This window comes from Homo sapiens, chromosome 4 (genome assembly GCF_000001405.40).
Source record: "Homo sapiens chromosome 4, GRCh38.p14 Primary Assembly".
In the NCBI taxonomy this organism is placed as follows: Eukaryota; Metazoa; Chordata; class Mammalia; order Primates; family Hominidae; genus Homo; species Homo sapiens.
The window spans coordinates 186,156,513-186,176,408 of record NC_000004.12 but is presented as its reverse complement, the minus strand read 5'-3'; the positions used below and the strand labels follow the sequence as shown (position 1 = coordinate 186,176,408).

Below are 19,896 nucleotides of genomic sequence, written 5' to 3'. Positions count from 1 at the left end.
TACCTCACCTCCACACCCAAGTGTGGATATCCAAATATCTCAATATCTCCACTTAGGCATCTAATTGGCATCTCACACATAACTTGCCCCTCATGCTGCCAAACGTGTTCCCCTTGCAGTCTTTCCAATTTCAGTGAGTGTCAACACCATCCTTCCAAGTGTGAAGCCAAAAGCCTGGAGGCATTCTCGATTCTTTTGGTAGACACACTCCACCTCTCATCCAACAGCACATCTTTTGGCTCAAATTTCAAAACACATGCAAAGTCCTGGGATTCTCATCAGCCTTACCACTATCATCTGACTGAAACAGGATCATCTCTTGTCGATTATATCATTCTATCCCCAAAACTCAACTGCTCCAGTGGCTTCTTATTTCATATTTCCCATAGTCCAAAAGGGACCTCAGTCCCTCAGCTCCTGTTAGCTCACTGAGCTCCCATTATTCACTCCCTTGCCAAGCGCATCCCATGAACTGGCCTCTCTGCTGTTCTTCAGACATTCCAGGTGGACTCTTGTTTAGGCACATGCTTTCTGCTCTGTCTACAGTTCTTTCTCCCCAGATATCTCCCAGGCTTCTTTTCTCATCTTCTTTGGGGTTTGCTCAAATATCACCTCTGCAACACAGCCTTCCCCAGCCGCTCGATGGAAAGTTGCAGCTCCTTCCACTCCGTCACCTTGCCTCGCTTTGTTTCTTCATAGCACTTATTGCTAACTGACCTGTATCATGTTTTTATTTAATTGTTTATAGTCTGTCGCCTCCACTACAATCTAAGTTCTTTTAGGCCAAAGACTGTCTTGTTCACTATAATGCTTAGAACAAAATCTTACACCAAGAAAGTGCTTAATAAATGTTTGATGAAATCAAATCCATGATGATTACCACACAGGAGCATAATCTTCTGAAACAAACATTACAACGGAGTATTCATAAATTATGTAAAGCCTTTGCAAATATATATGGACATATACTTAGAATTTACTGGGGAAAGTTTACTATGTAGTTAGAAATAATAAATACCTATGTATTAGAAACTGCAGAATAGAGAGATATTTGCACAAATGATACAAAAATTGGGAATCTAAAAATACTTTTATAAATGTTACACATTTTTGAAAACTCTTTTAACACTTTTATATTTTATTAGAAATTAAGGAATCAAAAATCCTACACAATGATCTGTAGTTATAATAAAACAATAAAAAATATAATATCCAAATGATATATAAAAACGTACTTCTGAATTGGTGTAGAAATTCCATCTAGTTCAGAATAATATCAATATGGATACTTCCTTTTATATTAAATTCACAAAATCTAGCAGTTTTCTATGGTATTTTACATTTTCTTAGATTGTTTTAAAATTTCTTCATTCTTTCTTTGGTTTTGGATAAACTAACAGGCATTTTAATTAATGTAATTCAATTAGTGTAAAATTCACTAATCTGAATTTAAAAATCTATCTCAGAAGTAGTTCAATTTTTCTTTTTTAATTTTTAATAGATTAATTCTAAGGTAAGACTCATTTATTAAAGTAGATTATAAAACACTGCCCTAATTTTTACCTAATTAGCTTAAAAAGCACCATCCTTGATATAAGCATTATTTACTAATCTCTAAATCTAATTTAATGTATAAATAAAATACTAACTTTAACATGGAGTAAAAATCAGTGCAATGAGAAGGTCATTTTTAAAATCAATGACAGGGCCAAGTCTCTATGTAATCTCTAAAATGGCACTTTATCTTCCAATTTAATGTTTAGAAGACTCAAGATCACTTTTTAAAAAATATTTTGTCTTTTACCAATATATATATATAAATAATAGATTCTTATTTGCAAACCTCTGGAGCCAAACAAGGTAAAGCTACCATAAAGTATATTCAGTGGTTTTCAAAGAAAAAACATTTTATCTTGGATACCCTACCTTAATGTTAGTTTAGACTGAATATCCGGTGTTTTCCCTACTACGAAGCTTGAGCTCATAAAAAAGAATGAGATTATGTCCTTTGCAGAGGCATGGCTGGAGCTGGAAGTCATTATCCTTAGCAAACTAATGCAGAAACAGAAAAACAAATGCCATCCGTTCTCACTTCTAAGTGGGAGCTAAATGATGAGAACACATGGACACAGAGGGGAACAGCACACACTAGGGCCTATCAAAGGGTGGAGGGTGGAAGGAGGGAGAGGATCAGGAAAAATAACTAATGGATACTAGGCTTAATACCTGGGTGATAATCTGTACAACAAACTCCCACGACACAAGTTTACCTATGTAACAACCTGCACATGTACCCCTGAACTTCAAGTAAAAAAAAAAAAAAAGGAAGTTTGGACTGAATAGGGAAGGAGTTGGATGGTTCCTGGAAATGGACATAAAATACCCTGAGTGGATCTGAAAGAGCAAGTGGGTCATGCTTTGAGCAGTAATGATGCACCAGAGAGCACCTAACCAGCAGCCCTATAACATGGGCTCCAGGCTACTCACATATCTAACTATTCCTCAAGTGGGAGAGCTGCTGAATTAAGACTGGCATTTGCTCTTAAAAGTTTCTATTGCTAATGTTTAGGAATAATGTAGAAAATTCTCAAAAATGCTTTGGTTTGCTTTGTGCAGGAAACTAAGCATTAGCAATCTTCCCCGGACACATGGAGCTGTGACCACGGAAAAGAGGCATGGACCTGGTGGTCGCTGCTGCTGCTGCTGCTGCTGCTGCCTAATGTGTCTCATTGCTATAGAAATGGAGTCAGCTGGCCAGGCGCGGAAGCTCACGCCTATAATCCCAGCACTTTGGGAGGCCGAGGTGGGCAGATCACCTGAGGTCAGGAGTTCAACACCGGCCTGGCTAACATGGTGAAACCCTGCCTCTACTAAAAATACAAAAAAAATTTAGCTGGGTGTGGTGGCATGCACCTGTAATCCTAGCTACCCAGGAGGCTGAAGCAGGAGAATCGCTTGAGCCCAGGAGGTGGAGGTTGTAGTGAGCCGAGATCGTGCCACTGCACTCCAGCCGGGGCCACAGAGCCAGACTCCGTTTCAAAAAAAAAGAAAAGAAAAAAGAAATGGAGTCAGCAAAGTCAAGGAGAAATTTTCAAACAGAGGCAAGGCTCTGGGTCATTTTTGTCACCCTGTGATAAAGGACAACATTAATGTTAGTCTCAACACATCTTTTAAAATTTCAGACATCTACTAGTAGGCAATGATCCCTTCTCCTTACAGCCAGAAATAGTCTGAAAGTAATTTATTATGCATTTATATGATACATATATGTGTGTATATAGTTTATAAATCTAAGTTTATAAATATGCTCATATATATAGCCTTATAAAGTTACAGTTTGGATTAGTAAAAATTAGACTGATGAAATGCAATTATCTGATAGAAAAGAGGAAATTAGCTGATTTGAGATTTGAGAATGTAAAAATGAGTGTAAGGACTTGAATCACAATCAAGAGAAACAGTGGGGAGAGGGACAAGAGGAAGACATGCCTGGAGCCTCATCTCTGCTAATTCCCCTTCCTGTTCTCTGCTCCATTTTCTACAGTAATGTCAGATGGGGAAACACACTCTGAAGAAAAGCCAGGCAGAGCAGGACAGAGCGCGAGGAGACGAGGGCTCTGGGAAGGTGTCATTGCAGTGGTGGCGTCTGGGCAAAGGCCAGCTCCTGATGGCACGTGGAGGGTGGGAGGCTCCCCTCCCATGGAGGAGCTTCGACTGTAAACAATAAAGATGACATCACCTGCCATAGCTTTTAATTGCGTTTATATTCAACCCTAAGATCAATAAATGTGGGGTACTTCACGTGAACTGTCTGAATTTGAAGATGGAACATAGAAAAAGAAAATTAGCTTGGGAGATTTTGCCACTGACATTTCTCAAAGAGGTTCATGGCGGAAGCACTTTTAAAAAATATATGAGAAACTCAGCATGACTAGAACAAGCTGAGTCTTATTCAGACTCTGACATATTGTCTCAAATACTAATATCTACTAGCGTCTAGGATTTTGACAGAATTACTAATAGGGTGAGACTAGAAAATACGTCAGAGTACAAAGTTACAAATGACATATTCCTAGATAATATATTCTTACATGTAATTAGTGTGTGAGTACATACACATGCTAATTATGTTTGCGTATCATTGATAAAATGACGGACTGCAAACACACATCAGGGGCTTCTGAACAAAGCCTACAGAACCTTGGAGATGCTTTCAGCAAGGCAGCTTGGTGGGTTTGACTTTCACTCTCTTTACAGTGCAAAGTGTTCAAGATTAAGTGATTTATTTGTTTGCTTTTCTCTCGGTCTAACATCTCACACTGTCAGACACACAGATAAATATAACACTTGTTCCTCCATTTTTCAAGTGATAAGCAGTGTGCCGAGGCCACAGGTGCTCCAATGGTTCTGGTGAGGTGGTTTCAAGATGTCACTTGGAATCTCCTCTTGAAAGTCAAAGTTGTCCTCTGAAAAGATTTAGGCACATATTGTGAACCTGGAAACACCAAGCAAAAGGTAATTCTCATTAAAATGTTACAAAGGCACCCACTCAGAACGATTGTTTTGTACACTCCATGCAAATACTTTAAAATATATATTTTATTTTAATACACTTTTGTATAAATTAGGAAATAGTCATATGCAAAAACTGCCTATTAGGGTCCTAAGGAAAAGGAAGTGTGCTCCCCCAAAATCAAGCGGAGGTGCAGGCCACGCGTCCTCCCGAGCTGGTGGATTCACGAGAAGCTTCCATGCAGAGGCGGGTCCTGGCCCAGGAGGCTGAGGGAGCACTACTTCCTGGCAGCTCTCCTGCTTCCCAGGGGCAGGTGCAATGCCAGGTACTTTAAGGGATCCTTCCCACTACCTGGAATACCCCTTTGGCTCCTTTTTTTTTCTATCACAGAAATAATAAAAGTTGATAAGTTAGTAGTTCCCAGTGCTTTTTGACCTGGACGCAAAGGTAGCAAGGAGGTCATGTGCCTGCTTGTCAGAGAAAAAGAAAACAAACCCTCAGAAAGACAGGAAGATCCCTCTTATGGACCCTCGATCACTTCTGCAGATATAGAAAAGACCTCTGACCATCAATAGTAGCTGTCTCAGAGTTCCTGATAAGAGCTCATCCTCTGAAGCGGTGCGTCTGGGCCTGACCCTGGGAGCCGGGCCGTGTTGGATGCCATCATGAAGGCGGATGCGGGGTTACATGGGGAAGGGCATCAGGAAGGCTGGGAGGAAGGCAGGAGCGTGGGCGTCACTGAAGGAAGGCAGCACCGCAGGGTGCACGGAGCCAACATCCGGCCTGAGATCAGGTGCTATCAAGGCTTTGCTTTTGCATGGGGATGTCTCTTGCACAGCTGGGCCACTCAGAAGGACCGCAGAAAGATGTGGTTCTTAGAATCACTGATTGGAATGATTCAGAAATTCCTTTATGAGGATCCTGCTTATGATGAGCTCCATGAAGACTTAGAGGAAAATTGAAAGAGTTTTGTTCATGACTCAAGGTTCAGCCTGACTTCGAAATTAGTGCAGAAGCTTCTGGACTTTGGTTTGGAGGACGACCGATGGATGAACAAAGATGAAACATCAAGGAACACAGGTCCCTCTGTCCCTCTGTTCAGTGTTTAAAATGTGACTGAAGGTCAGACAGTGCTGGGAGATCCGGTGTTCAGTGGGGAAGGTTCCACTTTGGCGGGTGAAAGGGCCTCCTTCTCCTGAGGTTTCCTGTCCCTTGGTGCCCCAGGGACCCCTGCACACCACCTGCCTGTCGGGGGCCCTGCCTGCTCTGCGGGCTTAGAGCTCACCAGGCTGCTCAGTGCTGGTCCCGAGTGCCTTGGCTTGGCCATTCCTCTCCAGCAGCACAAGCCTGGCTGGTTCTAGGCGGGGGTTGGCCCCGGACAGGGCCACCCCTACCTGAACTTGAAGGCACAGTCTTGTTTTGTTTTTTAAATGAGGCAGGGTTGACCTTAAGTAGGCTCATGGGTGATCAGGATGAGTCCTTGGATATGTTGAGGCTTGTTATGCACCAGGCACTGCGTTATCTGCTCCGTGTTTTATTTCAGGAGTCCTTAAGTGAGGTGTTATTCCCATTTTACAGGTATGGAAGCTGAGACCCACAGGGAATGCCTGGTGTCACAGCACCCAGCAGCAGAGCTAGGACTTCCGTGCCAAGGCCCGTGTCTCTCACGACCACCAGGCATGGCCTCCTCCGGATTGCACAGGCCGGCACCTACAGCCCTGGGCATCTCTGCCCTCCCTTCCGGACTGCACAGGCCCTGCCGAGCTGCATGGAGCTCCAGGGAGTCCCCTGTGGCCAGTTTTGCCTGTGCACCTGGTGGAAAGGAAGAAAAGCCAGCCTGATCCTGAGGGGGCCTGGACATACCCTTCCCACTCCCCAAATGGGGATGAACTTTGAAGCATTAAAAAAATGGTTAAGGAGGGGAAATATTTTGAACCAAAGAACTAAATGTTAGCTTGTTGTTACAGATGCAAAACCTCTTGGAGCTGTGCATTTGGTTGGCTGCATTCTCTCTTCTAATAGCTCTTTTGTCTTGGGTCAGTAGTTAAGAGGCAGTGAGGCGCAGATGACTGGCATGGACCGTTCCCTGGGTCCTACATGAGTTAAGTGGCCATATGTGATTGCACGTGTTAATGTAACTCCTCTGGACGCCCCCAGTGGGGGTCACTGCAGTCCCCCGATACCAGCTCTACCCCCACCTCCTCTTCCAGAAAGCAGTGAGTGATATGCCGAAGGTGTCACCATGAATCCACTCTGGTTTTTAATTCATTCCTGAATGTCCTATTAGATCGTGGTGTGCTGCCTGAGCTGGTGGCCAGAGAGGCGACTCCCTGTGTGAGCAGCGTGGTGGGCTGACGTTGACAGAGTGCTCAGGAGGAAAGAAAGAGCTTTCCATTTTTGAGGGACAAGACTTTTGAGGGATAAGACTTAGGCCTCCCGCTCCCAAGCTCAAATCCGTGTGTGAGGCCACATGTGCCTCACCTGGGGCCTGGGGACGTCTGCATGGGGCACGCGCCTCATTGCACCAACATCACAGGTCACGCCTTTGAGCCGCGTTCTCTCTACGTCGTGAGATCAGGGGCCTTGGCTGTGTTGTCCTTGGTGGATTTTTGTGTTTTGTAAGTTGTCTGTTTCGATAATGTATTATTTTTTATAATTGTAGAAACAATGACTAGCATATTTTAAAGGAAAAAAAGTTACTGATAAGAGAATACACTGACTTGGCATTTGGTCAATGATTAACAGTGAGATTTAGAACAAATTCAGAACCCAATTCCCACTCCAAACCTCTACTTACGTGTGCTCCAACTACTTCCCAGATACCTCCACTCGGCGTGCTGTAGTCAGCATCCCCAAAAGTGAACTCGTCAGAATTTCCCCAGTTCCCTCGCTCAGCACCACCCGCCGCTGGCCATCCAGAGAGTCATCTGTCAGCCCTCACTCCCTCTCTCTCACATCCCTTGTGATGGTCATCTCCTCTAGGAAGCCTCGGCACCCTCCAGCCATCTGACAGGGGATCCAGGTGGTGCTGCTCACCCCTCTCACAGCCTTTTCCAGCTTGCCTGCCAGGCTCAATGCTCCTTGAGGCACAGACGGAAACACCCCTGCTGTTTGAATCCCAGCCTTTGGCATAGACCTTGGCACAGAGTGAGCACTTGATACACCCATCCATGATTGATAAGCTAACTTGGGCGCCTACTTCCCCCCAAGCACCTACAATCGTGTTACAAGCAACACCTGGGCTGGGCGCAGTGGCTCATGCCTGTAATCCCAGCACTTTGGGAGGCCAAGATGGGTGGATTACCTGAGGTCAGGAGCTTGAGACCAGCCTGGCCAATATGGTGAAACCTCATCTCCACTAAAAATACAAACATTAGCCAGGCATCGTGGCATGTGCCTGTAATCCCAGCTACTTGGGGGGCTGTGGCAGCAGAATCGCTTGAACCTGGGAGGTGGAGGTTGCGGTGAGCTGAGATTGCACCACTGCACTCCAGCCTGGGCGTCGCAGTGAGACTTCATCTCAAAATAAATAAATAAATAAATAAAAGCAACACCTGACCATGTAGCATGGCTGCTTTTTAGAGAACGAGCTGTTGACATGTGAATGACCGCTAATGCTGCTAAGGAACATACAAGAAAAGCAACAAAAAGGCCCAGCAGCCCAGAGCGACTAGCGCAGGAGCAGAACTTTACAGAGCTGAAGAATCTCGACATCACTATGCTACATCACTATGCTACAGGACGACAGGAGGGCTGATGTGGACAGCGACAGATCTGTGCTACGCAATGCTTACATGTTACGAAATTTATTTTTAGAATTATATGTTTAAAATTCCCTGTAAAACAATAAATTATCCCTGAAATTTCAGGTTATTTATAATACAAATGGTTCATAATTCATCATTTCTGAGCAATACATGCCTGGTATCTAGCTAGATCCTTTTCACAGTTTTCCAATAATGATTTTATGTACCCTGCTTGTTATAAAAGAGGAAGCTGAGGGCCAGAGAGGTTGGGACATTCCTAGGGTTGCACAGCCGGTGGCAGAGCGAGGGTGGAAATCCAACGTCAGACTCCAGAGGCCACACTAACGCCTTGAAAACAGTGTTGGAGACTGTTCTGGAACTGGAAACATCACTGGCCCGTATTCAAACTAGAATATCCTGCAAACAGCATACCAGGCTGAGAATACCTATTTATCTGTAAAACCTTGTGTTATAAAGTAATTAGCAAATCTGTGTTAATTTTCTCAAGCATTTTTATCATCAGATTTTCAAAGAGAATCTGAGAGTAGAGTTTCACTTAGAAATAGAGCATGAAAACGCTATAGCAGACAGAGGTACTCACTGCTCCTAAGACAGCATTTTTTTTTTTTTTTTTTTTTGAGTGAGGCCCCCAGTTCATTGAGAGCTTTTGGACATTCCCCTCTTCTTGACCTCACAGCAGGTAAGTAAGTCTCTGCAGGTGTGCTCTGTGATCGAGGTTTCTGAGGTCAGGCCACAGGCCCCAAACATTTGCTATTCCCTCCTACAGCAAAATAGGCTTATCAAGGTAGATCATCTTCCATTTCACTGTCTGAAACTTGAAATCTCACTTACTACATCACTTTATTTACATATGGAGAAAAGCTGACCTGTCAAAATACTTTGACCTGTCCATGTGTGAGCAGCAAATTCCATTTGTGTCAATGAACTTTTTCGAGGCGTATCCGACTGCTGGAAGAAAAATAAAATCAGGGACAAGTTTCATTTTTTTCAAATGTTTTTCAAAATTAAAGTTACAGGAAACAGAGAACCCACCCGGAACGTGTGGGTTGTGCTGGGCCTTGACAACCGTTCCAGGGTGGCTGTTCTTTCTCGAAGACGCGATCGTTCTGTACCGTCAGGCATGGCACTCAACACACGGTTTTGTAGATGCCTTCCTCTGTACTAAATGAAGGATAGTATGTTCTTGTTTAAAATAAATGCAATCCTTAAAAACACAAAAGAAAATCTCGACATGCTCAATCGTTCACTCATCTATTTGGAAACTTTTAGTTAGACATTACTAAGGATCAGGTCTCCTAAGGATAAATACCTGAAGAAATATATTTTGATTATGTAACTGCACTATTAAGCCTGATAAAATTATAGTGTCATAATAGGGAAAGAGAGATAAAAAAAACCTTAAGAAAATGTAATTCTGCATTTGTGAAGTAGCAGACTTTTTAATGTGATGTTTGCCTTTTTTTTTTTTTTTTTTTTTTTAAACAGAGTCTCGCTCTGTCACCCAGGCTGGAGTGCAATGGCGTGATCGCGGCTCACTGCAACCTTGGCCTCCAGGGTTCAAGCGATTCTCCTGCCTCAGTCTCCCGAGTAGTGAGGATTACAGGCACGTGCCACCACATCCAGGTAATTTTTTTGTATTTTTAGTAGAGATGAGGTTTCACTATGTTGGCCAGGCTGGTCTCGAACTCTTGCCCTCGTGATCCACCCACCTCAGCCTCCCAAAGTGCTGGGATTACAGGCGTGAGCCACTGCACTCCGCTGCCTTTTGTAAAATGATGTTATTCTAAGGTTAAACATGAACACTTTGCAACTCTTGCCTTCTGGGAATGGGTTCCAGTGCTGGGCTCAAGGTGGCACAGGGCATGCAGGAGGGAACCTGGCCCCAGGTAGGGTTTTTCTCTCACTATGTCTTTATGTTCCTACAACAGGGGTCCTTCTGTGTTGTATAAAATGAATAGAGACAAGTTACTTGTGTGAAGTGGAGTGAGGGGTGGCTGTAAACCTGGGGGCTGCCTGGATATGCATGCTGGCCACAGCACACCCCCCGCAGACCTGACTGCCTGGCCGAGGCGAGTCTGACTGCAGAAGGTATTGCCCTCCACTGCAATAGACATAGCAAAGGTTAGCTGTAAAAATGACCGATAGAAATGACCAGGGTCCTAATTTACTGAGCTCATAATTTCACGTCAGGAATCATTTAACACCTATGAGTTCATTTTGTCCTTCTAACAATTCTTTAGAGGTAAGAATCATTAATCCCCTTTTACAGAGAACACTAAGGCTCAGGGAGATTAAAGTGACTTGCACCAAGTCATAGAAGAGAGTTTCTGTGGCAGGATCCACGCGGACCTGCCTGTCTCCTGACCAAATTTCATGCTCTCTTCTTTGCTCCACTATCCTATCAGAGATTTCCTTGACACCTGGAATTTCTGATTTAGTTCAAGACATGCTTTTATTTCACAAAACGGTGAATTAAGCCTCTCACTCCCTGTAAATTCTCATAAGCCATTCATTTACTTTCTGGAAACAGATTATGAAGGCATTTGAATACAGCTACTCAGATCTCATGTTACTAATTTCACTTGGAAGTGCCAAGGTTGTTTTTGTTTGTTTTCCAATACAGAACCTAAATGGTCCACTGAAATAGAATGAAATCTGTCTTACAGAAACAAGGCGGCATCCAGGAACTGCTGTATTCTGCCCCCTGGTCTCCGTGACTAGCGGGGGGAACCTGCTCCGTGACGTTTGAACCAGTGGGGAAGCCATGTGGTCCACGCCAGTCGGCCTGCAACACATCATCATGTCACTGAGCACCCAGGTACATGGATAACTGGCAAGTGACAGGAAATCTGCCAAGAGCTGTGATTTCAATGTTTCTGCGTGAGGGGCACACAGGAGGTCTTTGATTTCTGCTATGTGTGGTATTATCCGGATGCTCCCCAGGGAACTTATAGCACTCTGATAACTATGGGAAAATGTTATCTCAATACAAGTGAAAGACAGAGGATGGAGGTGAGAAGACGCAGAGCTGGTGTGTGGGGGGGTCAGAGGGAAAGTGAGGCTGGCAGGTGAGAATCCAGGCGGGTGAGAAGCCGGGGGACACAGGTGAGGTAGCATCACCAAAGGGGGTGGGCACTGGCCCCTCTGAAGCCACAGCTTCCCTCGTATGTGTAGAGCACAGCTATGCACACAGACAAACAGGCTGTCTGTGGGACTACAATTCCATGTGTAGGGAGAGCAATTGGGAAGAATGGTCGAAAAGGGCTCCTCAGGGTGGCAATAATAAAAAGAAAGCTGAAAAATCAGCAGCCCACAGGGAGGGAGGGGTCAGAACACAGAGGGATTTGTACAGTTAGTGGCATCTGAATGTATCTCAGTAGGAAACATAAATGGGTTTCTATTTGATGAAGGTGTGACAGGGGGCCCAGGTAGGCTGGGGCAGGAGGAGAAAGCCTGCCATGTGTTGCTGACTGGCACCGTGTGCTGCTGACTGGCATGGGGGGAAGCGAGGCGGAGGAGGGAGAGGGATCTCGAAGGAATCAGCACAGCAGACCCAACACAGCTGGAAACATCAGTCCCAAACTGTGAAAGAAACAGTCACCAATTAAAAAGCTGAAAGGGGGGTTATGACTGCATCTGGAAAAAGTCTGGGTGCCAGGTAAGCGTTGGCAGCCGCCCGCTCCTGAGCTCGGCTCCTGATAACAGCTCCCCTGCAGGCCGGGGGTCCAGTGGGTGGTCTCTAAAGCCTGAGAGCACTTGTGGGTGTGTCCGGCTGGGCCTCTTCCTGGCGGGGATGATCTCCGGCAGGCTTAGCCTGTTCCCTCATCTCAGATTTGGGATAGTATGAGTCCCAACAATATAAAGTTTTGTGGTGGGGAATAAATAAGATCATAAATGTAATTCATTTACCTGGCGCTGATAACAAAGAAAGTGATCAATAAACATTAGCTATTATTATCAATGTAAGTATTGGCCGATACTGGTAAGTTAGCTGGAGGGCAAGAGACAGGCACCTTTCTAACGAGGCCATGACGGGATGTGAATCCTGCAATCAACAGCTTTGCTGAAACTCCCACATAGAGAAAAATGCATCCTTAAAGATAATCCGATAGGGACACAGTCCTTTTATTTTTATAGCATTTTATATACATTATTTTATTTAAACCTCCCCTTGAAAAGTATTAATTATGTAATTGAAAGGCATTAGCTAATTATTTGTTTCACAGATGAGGCCACTGAAATCCACCCAAGGTCCCCCAGCATCAGAGGCTCATTCCGCCTGTGTGACAGGGACATTGCCTGACCTTGTGTCCTAGGATACAGCTAAGTAGACCACTGGAGCAAGCGGAATGTTAAATGCTCAATGAACTCATTAGAAAAGCATCTATGTAAAACTAGGTAGGGATGCTTTGTCCAGGATGATCCATAAACCCTAACTGAGAAGCATCTAGGTCCTCCGTGGCCTTTAGTTTACTATGAAAGAAATGAGACTCACAGTTTTGTTCCCCGAAGAACTTCGTCACTATAGATGTTGGGAGTTTTTAGTCTCTGTGAATCTGAAGCAAGAGAAGGCAGCCTCCAGGGCACTGGTGTTTTCTTTGCAGAAGGTGATAATCCATGAGTGTCTGAGGCCCGTCCCAGTCTGTGCGGTGCGGAGGAGAGAGCACCTGCCCCTCCACCCGATGCTTTGTCCTCCTTCTCATTCCTGGGAAGGAAATCCTGTGAGCTACTCAGCTGCGAGTGCTGTGATAACAGGGAACGCACCTGTCTGTGCTTAGTTGAGCACTGCCTAGAACAGTCTGGCACCTAGAACATACTCCTAAGCACGGGTTGAATGAATGAAAAGACCCATCATTTCTGTTTCTGTTTCAATGAAGAATCATCCACAGGCAGAGGGCTAAGGTTTTCCCTGTCAGTAATCAAACAGTCAAGCCCACAAGATTAAGAATTTCAGGACTACATTCCCCTTTCCCCATCTCTCCCTACCAAATACACGATAGTAACTGTTTTGTGGTTGGTACTAAAGGGTCTGTTTCTGCTCTTCCAGACGTGCTCAGGCACATCTGAAGCACGGGATTAAATGGGACCTTCGTGATCTCATGTCCCCTGCAGTCTTCAGTGCTCCAGTGTTTGCAGCACAGGGAAGAGGCTGGGTAACTACTACTGATTCTGATACGTACTGCGTTCTGTCAGCAAAATAGGCAGGTCTCCGCTGAAGCGGTTTTGCTTGAATTGTCATGACACCATTCATGTCACTATAAAAACTGCTGGAGAAGTGATGAATCTGAGAACAGTAAAAAAAAAAAAAAAAAAAAAAAGAATTACAAATGCCCAGTGCCGTTCCAATGACTGATGCTTGTCCGAAATCAGCAGGAAACACCCGGCACACTCACCAGCTAACTGGAGGAAAAACTAATAAAGGGGATATATTTTATAAAGATGTGGGCTGAGACATTAACAACGAATTGGTTAATTCCCCAAGGCTCCTAACAGTGGGGACATTGAGCACACCTGGCCCAAAGTGGCCAGAAGTGAGAGAGAGGTTCCTGCACCCGGAGAGGGTAGCTGCACGGGGTAGGAACGCCACCAGCCCAGGGTGACCTGGCAGGGAGGCTGCAGGGAAGCAGAGCCGTGCTTCAGTCTCCCCCCATGCTCTGAGATCCCGGAGGTTGGAGGGCAAGGGAGCACTGGTGTGGTCAACGTGTATCAGCCTCTGGTAACTCCAGGGTGAGGAAGGCAGAGAGAGAACTGGGAGAAGCACAGGCCGGGCATCATGGCTCCTCATTGTCCTGCTTGCCTGGGACCTCTCCTCTCCTCCTCTCCACACTTGCCTGGGTTCTCTTCCCAGAAGCGGTGAGATGGCCTGGACCCTCGAAAGCATCAGTCTGAACCCCAGCTCTAACTGCTTCCTGATTTGTAATTCTGGAAAGCTTACTTTGTTCTTGGAGCTTTAATGGCCCCATCTTTATGTTGGGGAAAAATCATACCTACTTCACAGAGCTATTGAGAGAATTAAATGAGATGACAGAAAGCGTGAGCTAAGGGCTAAGTAATTCTTAACTCCCTCTTCAGTCCCACAATATGACCAACTAGGATTTAAAATAATATTTACCTAGATGACAGGCTGACAGGTGCAGCAAACCACCATGGCACATGTATACCTGTGTAACAAACCTGCACATTCTGCACATGTATCCCAGAACTTAAAGTAAATTAAAAATTTTTTCAAATAACCATATTTAGATGTAGGAGAACAGGATTTCTGGGACTGGAATTCTGTTCTAGTTCATGAGCACATGTGGCAACCACAATCATATGTAGAGGAATAACTTAAGAGCTTTCATAATTAGAACTAGAACACCTTGAGTATTTCAAAGCAGGCTCTATTTTTATTCTGTTAACTTTGCTGTCCACTTATTTTTTTTTAACATTTATCCAAACAAAGTAATTATAAAAACAAAACAGCTATTTAAAAAATGCCTCAGCTTCTAGAATGTCCATATTTTTCTGGTCTGTTTATTTTGCCTGATATTTAAAGGCTCATCCACTGCTCTTTGTGTGATATTCATACTGCCTATTTTTTTTAAGTGGGAAATGTTGTATTGAACTTGTCAGAGCAGTTTAAAGAGACCAAAAAAATACAATAAGCAGGTAGCAATTCCAAAAGTTTCTTTAGAACAGAAAAGGCACAGAAGACTTACACTAGAGAGTGAAACAAGCCTCTGAGACGCTCTGTTCTCCCCACTGCTCCCCGAAGCACAGGTTCTGTTCAGGCCTGTGTCCCTTCAGTCTCACAAAGATCGCGGGTTTAGAAGCTCCCACGCCAGGTGCAGTTTTGCTTTTGCTTTGAAGAGCCTCCCTTCCTTTCTCATGTTAACGAATCACACCTGTCATTTAGGGCTTGGTTCATATCTTACCCTACTCTGTGAAAAGTATATTTTTCTTCTGACTCCCAGAGGACTTATGATCCAAAACACATCTCATTATAAAATATATATAATTACAAAACATTACATCTAATTAAAAAATTACACAAAAATCTAATTACAAAGGATTATATAGACTATTAATATATAATTAGCATCTGATTATAACAAAAGGTAACACTTATTGAACGTCCACTCTACACCAGACACTACACAAAATGTTTTATCTCCTTTAATTCTCACAGCTTCCTACCTCATAAATCAGGAAATTGAGGTTTTGAGAAACAGGGACTGATTTACAATCACGGAGTATTAAATGCAGACATCAAGCCCAGAACTAGTAGTCTATATACGCAAGTTTCACTCTGCTATCAGCTAGACTGTCTCCCATGTGGGGAGATGTGTGTGTGTGTGTGTGTGTGGTGTGGTGTGATGTGGTGTGTGTGTGGTGTGGTGTGGTGTGTGTGGGGTGTGGTGAGGTGTGTGTGTGGTGTGTGGTAGTGTGTGTGGTATGTGTGAAGGTGTGTGTGTATGTGTGGGGTGTGTAGGTGTGGGGTGTGTACATGTGTGGTGTGTTGTGGGTTGTGTATGCATGTGGTGTATGTGTGTGGTGTGTGTATGATATGTGGTGTGTGTGGTATGTGTGCATGTGTGGGGTGTGCGTGTGGTGTGTAGTGTGTGTGTATGTGTGTATTTGGTATGTGTTTGTATAGTGTGTGGTGTGTGTGTGGTGTATGGTGTGTGGTGTGTTTGTGTGGGATATATGTTTGGTGTGTGGTGTGTTTATGTGGGGGGTGTGTGCAGTGTGTGTGTGAGTGGTGTGTGTGTATGTGGTATGTATTTTCTGTGTGTGTGGTGTGTTTGTGTGTGGTGTGTGTTTGGTGTGTGGTGTGTTTGTGTGGGGTGTGTGTTTGGTGTGTGGTGTGTTTGTGTCGGGTGTGTGCAGTGTGTGTGTGAGTGGTGTGTGTGGTGAGTGGTGTGTGTGGTGAGTGGTGTGTGTGTAGTGTGTGTATGTGGTATGTGTTTGGTGTGTGGTGTGTGTGCGTGTAGTGTGTGTATGTGGTATGTGTTTGGTGTGTGGTGTGTGTGCGTGGTGTGTGTAGTGTGTATGTGGTATGTGTTTGGTGTGTGGTGTGTGCGTGGTGTATGGTATGTGGTGTGTTTGTGTGGGGTGTGTGTTTGTGTGGGGGGTGTGTGGGGGGATGTGTGCAGTGTGTGTGTGTGGTGTGTTTGGTGTGTGTATGAGTGGTGTGGTGTGTGTCTGTGTGTGGTGTGTGTGTGTGTGTGTTGTTTGACATGGCTGGGCTCCCTCCAACTATACTATAAATTCTGTGTAGCTCAGGACTAGGACTCCTGCCTTACCCGTGTTCTCTGCTCCCCCCACAAGGTGGGCAGTGGAAACAACCTCCTTGGCACCACTACAGGCCTCGCGTGAACAAGTGTATCCTTTCCAGCCTCACCTGCGACCACATCTCTCAATAAAAATGCAATTCAAGAAAAATTTATTACGCGCTCAGTATGTGCTGGACCCTGTAGTAGGAGCTCTTGGGTATTTCTATGATTTTATCCTCACAATAATCCCTTGGACAAGATAATAATCTCATTATAAGCTAAGGACACTAAAGTTCAGAAAAGCTAAACAACATATCCAGAAGAATACTCCTCTCAGGCCTCTCGATTCCTAATCCCCTGTTCTTGCCACTATGCTGCAGTTGCCAGTTTCTTATCCCCTAAACTCAGCCCAGTCACAGTCCCCAAACAGGCCCCATCTTTTACTCATCCACGCCTTTGCTTGGCCTGAAATGGCCCACCCAGAGTTCTCTCCCACAAGAGCCTTGCTCATTCCTGCTCAAATTTTACCTTCAATGTAAAAGACCAATCCCCCTCCTGTAATCAGAACAAATCACTCTCTCTTTGATTCTTCTACAAGGTTTTTTTTGTTTTTGTTTTTTTTTGCGCGACCCTCACAGAATGTATTGCACCTGACCCTGTGTCACGGCTTTTGTATCACTAGGATTCACCTCTGTATCTCCTCAAAACGCCTCAACTACAACCAATAAATGCTGAGTAAGCCCAATGTATACTCATTGGTTCTTTTATCACTTTGGTGGAAAGAAAGGAGAACATTTATAATTTTCAAACTAGCTCGAAATATTAGGGGAAAGCATTTTTTTAATCTCCCAAAATGTAGAAAACAGCTTCACATCTCAGAGCAGTGCCATGTGGTAATTCTGTTAAACTTCATGAAATAATCACATTGCAAACAGACCCGAATATCATTGTTTTAAATAGAAACTGATGTTTATTTTCCATCGGCCTTATTTCCATCTTGCTGGTGGCCTGTGGAAGAACAGCTTGAGACCGCTCAGTGGTTGATCCTCCTCATTCAGGGGCCTGAGCATTGGGAGCTGCAGAACAGGCTTGCCTGGCAGGCTGAGTGCTCCAGTCTGCAGTAGGGACGGCTGAATAGGCACAGGGGGTACCTGCACCTTCAGAGCAGTCTGCAGCCTCAGGCTGAGCAGCAGTGCGTGCAGGGGCTGGGTCTCCACCCTCAACCTGGGCGGCAGTGTGTGCAGGGGCTGGGTCTGCAGCCTCGGGCTGGGCGGCAATGCTCAGCAGGCACTGGAGCAATCTGTTCCCCTGAAACTCCCCCTTGGCCACAGCTGCATCAGCAGCAGGCTGCTCTTCCACCTCAATCTCTTCAGGGTCTCTGCAGAAGCAGAGGTCAGGCGTGGACTCCCATGGGTGTTCCTGGGGGATGGTGTCACGCATGCCCAGAACTCCCTGAGCCAGCAGCCACCCCTTCAGGCCCACTGAGTGAGCTCCCTTGTTGCACGGGATGGCGACTTCCACACAGCACAGAGGAGAATCTGTGTTCCACAGAGCAATGGGAGGTGGGCTAGCCAAGACGCCTCTCTGAGAGGCTGGTGGTCGCCTGGGACCAGCAGACATGGCTCCCGGAAGGCTGCCTGGGTCTGGCGAGTGAAGGTTCCAGGAGAGAAGCGGCCAGCAGCTGGAGTGGCTCTGGTGGCAGCAGTGAGCTTCAGCACAGCCTGCCGGCCAGTGTTCCTGGAGCAAGACAGGGACCTCAGCAGGGTTCAACAGCAACAATGGCACGAGCTGCCAGCAGCAGCTTCTCCCAGGTCCCTTCAGATTTATGACAGAGATGCCATCGCTGGTCCGTCCTTTTGTGGATATACTGCTCCATCTGGAAGCCAAGGGTGGTGCCGCCTGCGTGGGCTCCTACCGCAAGGAACTTGAGCACATCCTCGTCCTTCATAGGCAGGACGTCCAGGTCTCCAGGCATTGTGACACTGTGAAGGTTTCCCTTTAAGTTACCATGGAAAGCCTGCATGGACCCCTCTGCGGGCAGCGTGGAAAGCAGCCCCAAATATCTCAGTACTGCAGTTTAACAGAACGACAAACTGAGGTGACAGACACACAGAGTGAAGGCAAGAGGGAGAAGGGTGTGAAAGCACCGACCTGGGGCGGGTTCAGACGAGAAGCCAGGGAGATGCCGTGAGCCTCGGCGTGTCCGGACGGGGGGCCACTGGCTCCATCGGCGTGAGCGTGTGGAACGAGGACGTGCGGAAATCTGTTTCCAGCCACTTTCAATGTTTCTCTCTGTTTTTTCCCTTCTGTGTCAACAGAAGAATCAATATTACAAGAAACATCAGATTATCTAATACAAATACTTAAAATTCACTCTTGAAAGAGAATATGTGTGCTTGAGCTACCACGAGCCCATGCTACGGCCACTCCACATGTTACCACGGAGGGCAGAGACCCCTGTGGAGCAACTGGCTGCTGGAACTGTGGTTGCAGGGCTTGGAGAAGCAGATCACACAGTGGGCAATACAGATTCTCAGCACATGATAAAGCCCAACTAATTCCTTAAATACTGGAAAAAGAACAGGATTTAGGTTAACGTGATTATTGCCTTATTGTACAAATTGATTAATAAAACTGGTCATTAATGTCCATCACTGACATTTTTATGATTTGTTTTTGTTCAATGTTAAGTTTAGAGAATATTTTGTATGTAAGAGGATTAAAGCATGATTCAATTAGCAATGTTTACATTTTACATTACAGATAATGTCACGAACAATGAAAAACAAATATCTCATTATTAGAGAGTAGTTAGGTAAATTATTTTTACTATAACAAAAAACATGACTTCTAGCCTTGTTCTTGTGTATCTGTGTGTTTTCCAGACTGCATATGCACTGCTATTTTTGGGGGAGAGATGGTCTCGCTTTGTTGCCCAGGATGGAGTGCTCACTTTCAATACTGAATTCCTGAGCTCAAGGGGTCCTCCCATCTCAGCCTCCTGAGTAGCTGGGCCTACAGGCATGTGCCACCATGCCTGGCTAACTTTTTATTTGTATTTTTTGAAAAGACAGGGTGTTACTATGTTGCCCAAGCTGAGCTGGCCTTGAACCTCTGGGTTCAAGTAATTCTCCTGCCTTGGTCTCCCAAAGTTCTGAGTCACCATGCCTGCCCTGCATTCTTTTTTTTTGAGATGGAGTTTTACTCTTGTTGCCTAGGCTGGAGTGCAGTGGTGTGATCTCTGCTCACTGCAATCTCAATCTCCACCTCCTGGGTTCAAGCAATTCTCCTGCCTCAGCCTCCCGAGTAGCTGGGATTACAGGCACATACCACCACGCCCGGCTAATTTTTGTATTTT

The 19,896-nt window shown here is 45.2% G+C and overlaps 1 protein-coding gene and 2 pseudogenes across 6 annotated transcripts in view, besides 5 other annotated features; 1 reads left to right on the top strand and 2 right to left on the bottom strand.

The window, feature by feature from the left end:
- Nucleotides 1-1,071: 1,071 nt before the first annotated feature.
- The window catches only part of FAM149A (family with sequence similarity 149 member A), a 70,634-nt gene continuing 51,809 nt past the window's right edge, over nucleotides 1,072-19,896 (bottom strand). For 2 of the 6 annotated variants that reach the window (NM_001395294.1, NM_001367768.3), the window contains exons 8-14: nucleotides 18,690-18,844; nucleotides 13,461-13,564; nucleotides 12,776-12,985; nucleotides 10,945-11,065; nucleotides 9,313-9,441; nucleotides 9,147-9,225; nucleotides 1,072-4,495 (exon numbers count right to left, since the gene is read on the bottom strand). In NM_001395294.1, the coding sequence (NP_001382223.1) occupies nucleotides 4,422-4,495; nucleotides 9,147-9,225; nucleotides 9,313-9,441; nucleotides 10,945-11,065; nucleotides 12,776-12,985; nucleotides 13,461-13,564; nucleotides 18,690-18,844 (872 nt within the window). In that variant the 3' untranslated portion in view covers nucleotides 1,072-4,421. Of the gene's footprint in view, nucleotides 4,496-9,146; nucleotides 9,229-9,312; nucleotides 9,442-10,944; nucleotides 11,066-12,775; nucleotides 12,986-13,460; nucleotides 13,565-18,689; nucleotides 18,845-19,896 lie in introns of all 6 variants that reach the window. The other 4 variants (NM_001350178.1, NM_001350179.1, NM_015398.4 and 1 more) reach the window with 3 other exon arrangements.
- Nucleotides 5,022-6,221: an enhancer, noted in NCBI's record as "MED14-independent group 3 enhancer chr4:187091342-187092541 (GRCh37/hg19 assembly coordinates)". NCBI's record gives its function as "activates an origin of replication core promoter dependent on BRD2, BRD4, P300/CBP and CDK7 cofactors, and independent of MED14, by STARR-seq in HCT116 cells {active_cell/tissue: HCT116}" and the evidence as "EXISTENCE:reporter gene assay evidence [ECO:0000049][PMID:35650434]".
- Nucleotides 5,022-6,300: a biological region, named in NCBI's record as "MED14-independent group 3 enhancer GRCh37_chr4:187091342-187092541".
- Nucleotides 5,152-5,546, top strand: LTO1P1 (LTO1 pseudogene 1; annotated as a pseudogene).
- Nucleotides 5,299-5,798: an enhancer, noted in NCBI's record as "H3K4me1 hESC enhancer chr4:187091765-187092264 (GRCh37/hg19 assembly coordinates)". NCBI's record gives its function as "activates a minimal SCP1, AML or CMV promoter by ChIP-STARR-seq in primed H9 embryonic stem cells {active_cell/tissue: H9 hESC(primed)}" and the evidence as "EXISTENCE:reporter gene assay evidence [ECO:0000049][PMID:30033119]".
- Nucleotides 5,799-6,300: an enhancer, noted in NCBI's record as "H3K4me1 hESC enhancer chr4:187091263-187091764 (GRCh37/hg19 assembly coordinates)". NCBI's record gives its function as "activates a minimal SCP1, AML or CMV promoter by ChIP-STARR-seq in primed H9 embryonic stem cells {active_cell/tissue: H9 hESC(primed)}" and the evidence as "EXISTENCE:reporter gene assay evidence [ECO:0000049][PMID:30033119]".
- Nucleotides 17,427-17,926: an enhancer, noted in NCBI's record as "H3K4me1 hESC enhancer chr4:187079637-187080136 (GRCh37/hg19 assembly coordinates)". NCBI's record gives its function as "activates a minimal SCP1, AML or CMV promoter by ChIP-STARR-seq in naive H9 embryonic stem cells {active_cell/tissue: H9 hESC(naive)}" and the evidence as "EXISTENCE:reporter gene assay evidence [ECO:0000049][PMID:30033119]".
- On the bottom strand, nucleotides 17,496-18,587 carry RPSAP70 (ribosomal protein SA pseudogene 70; annotated as a pseudogene).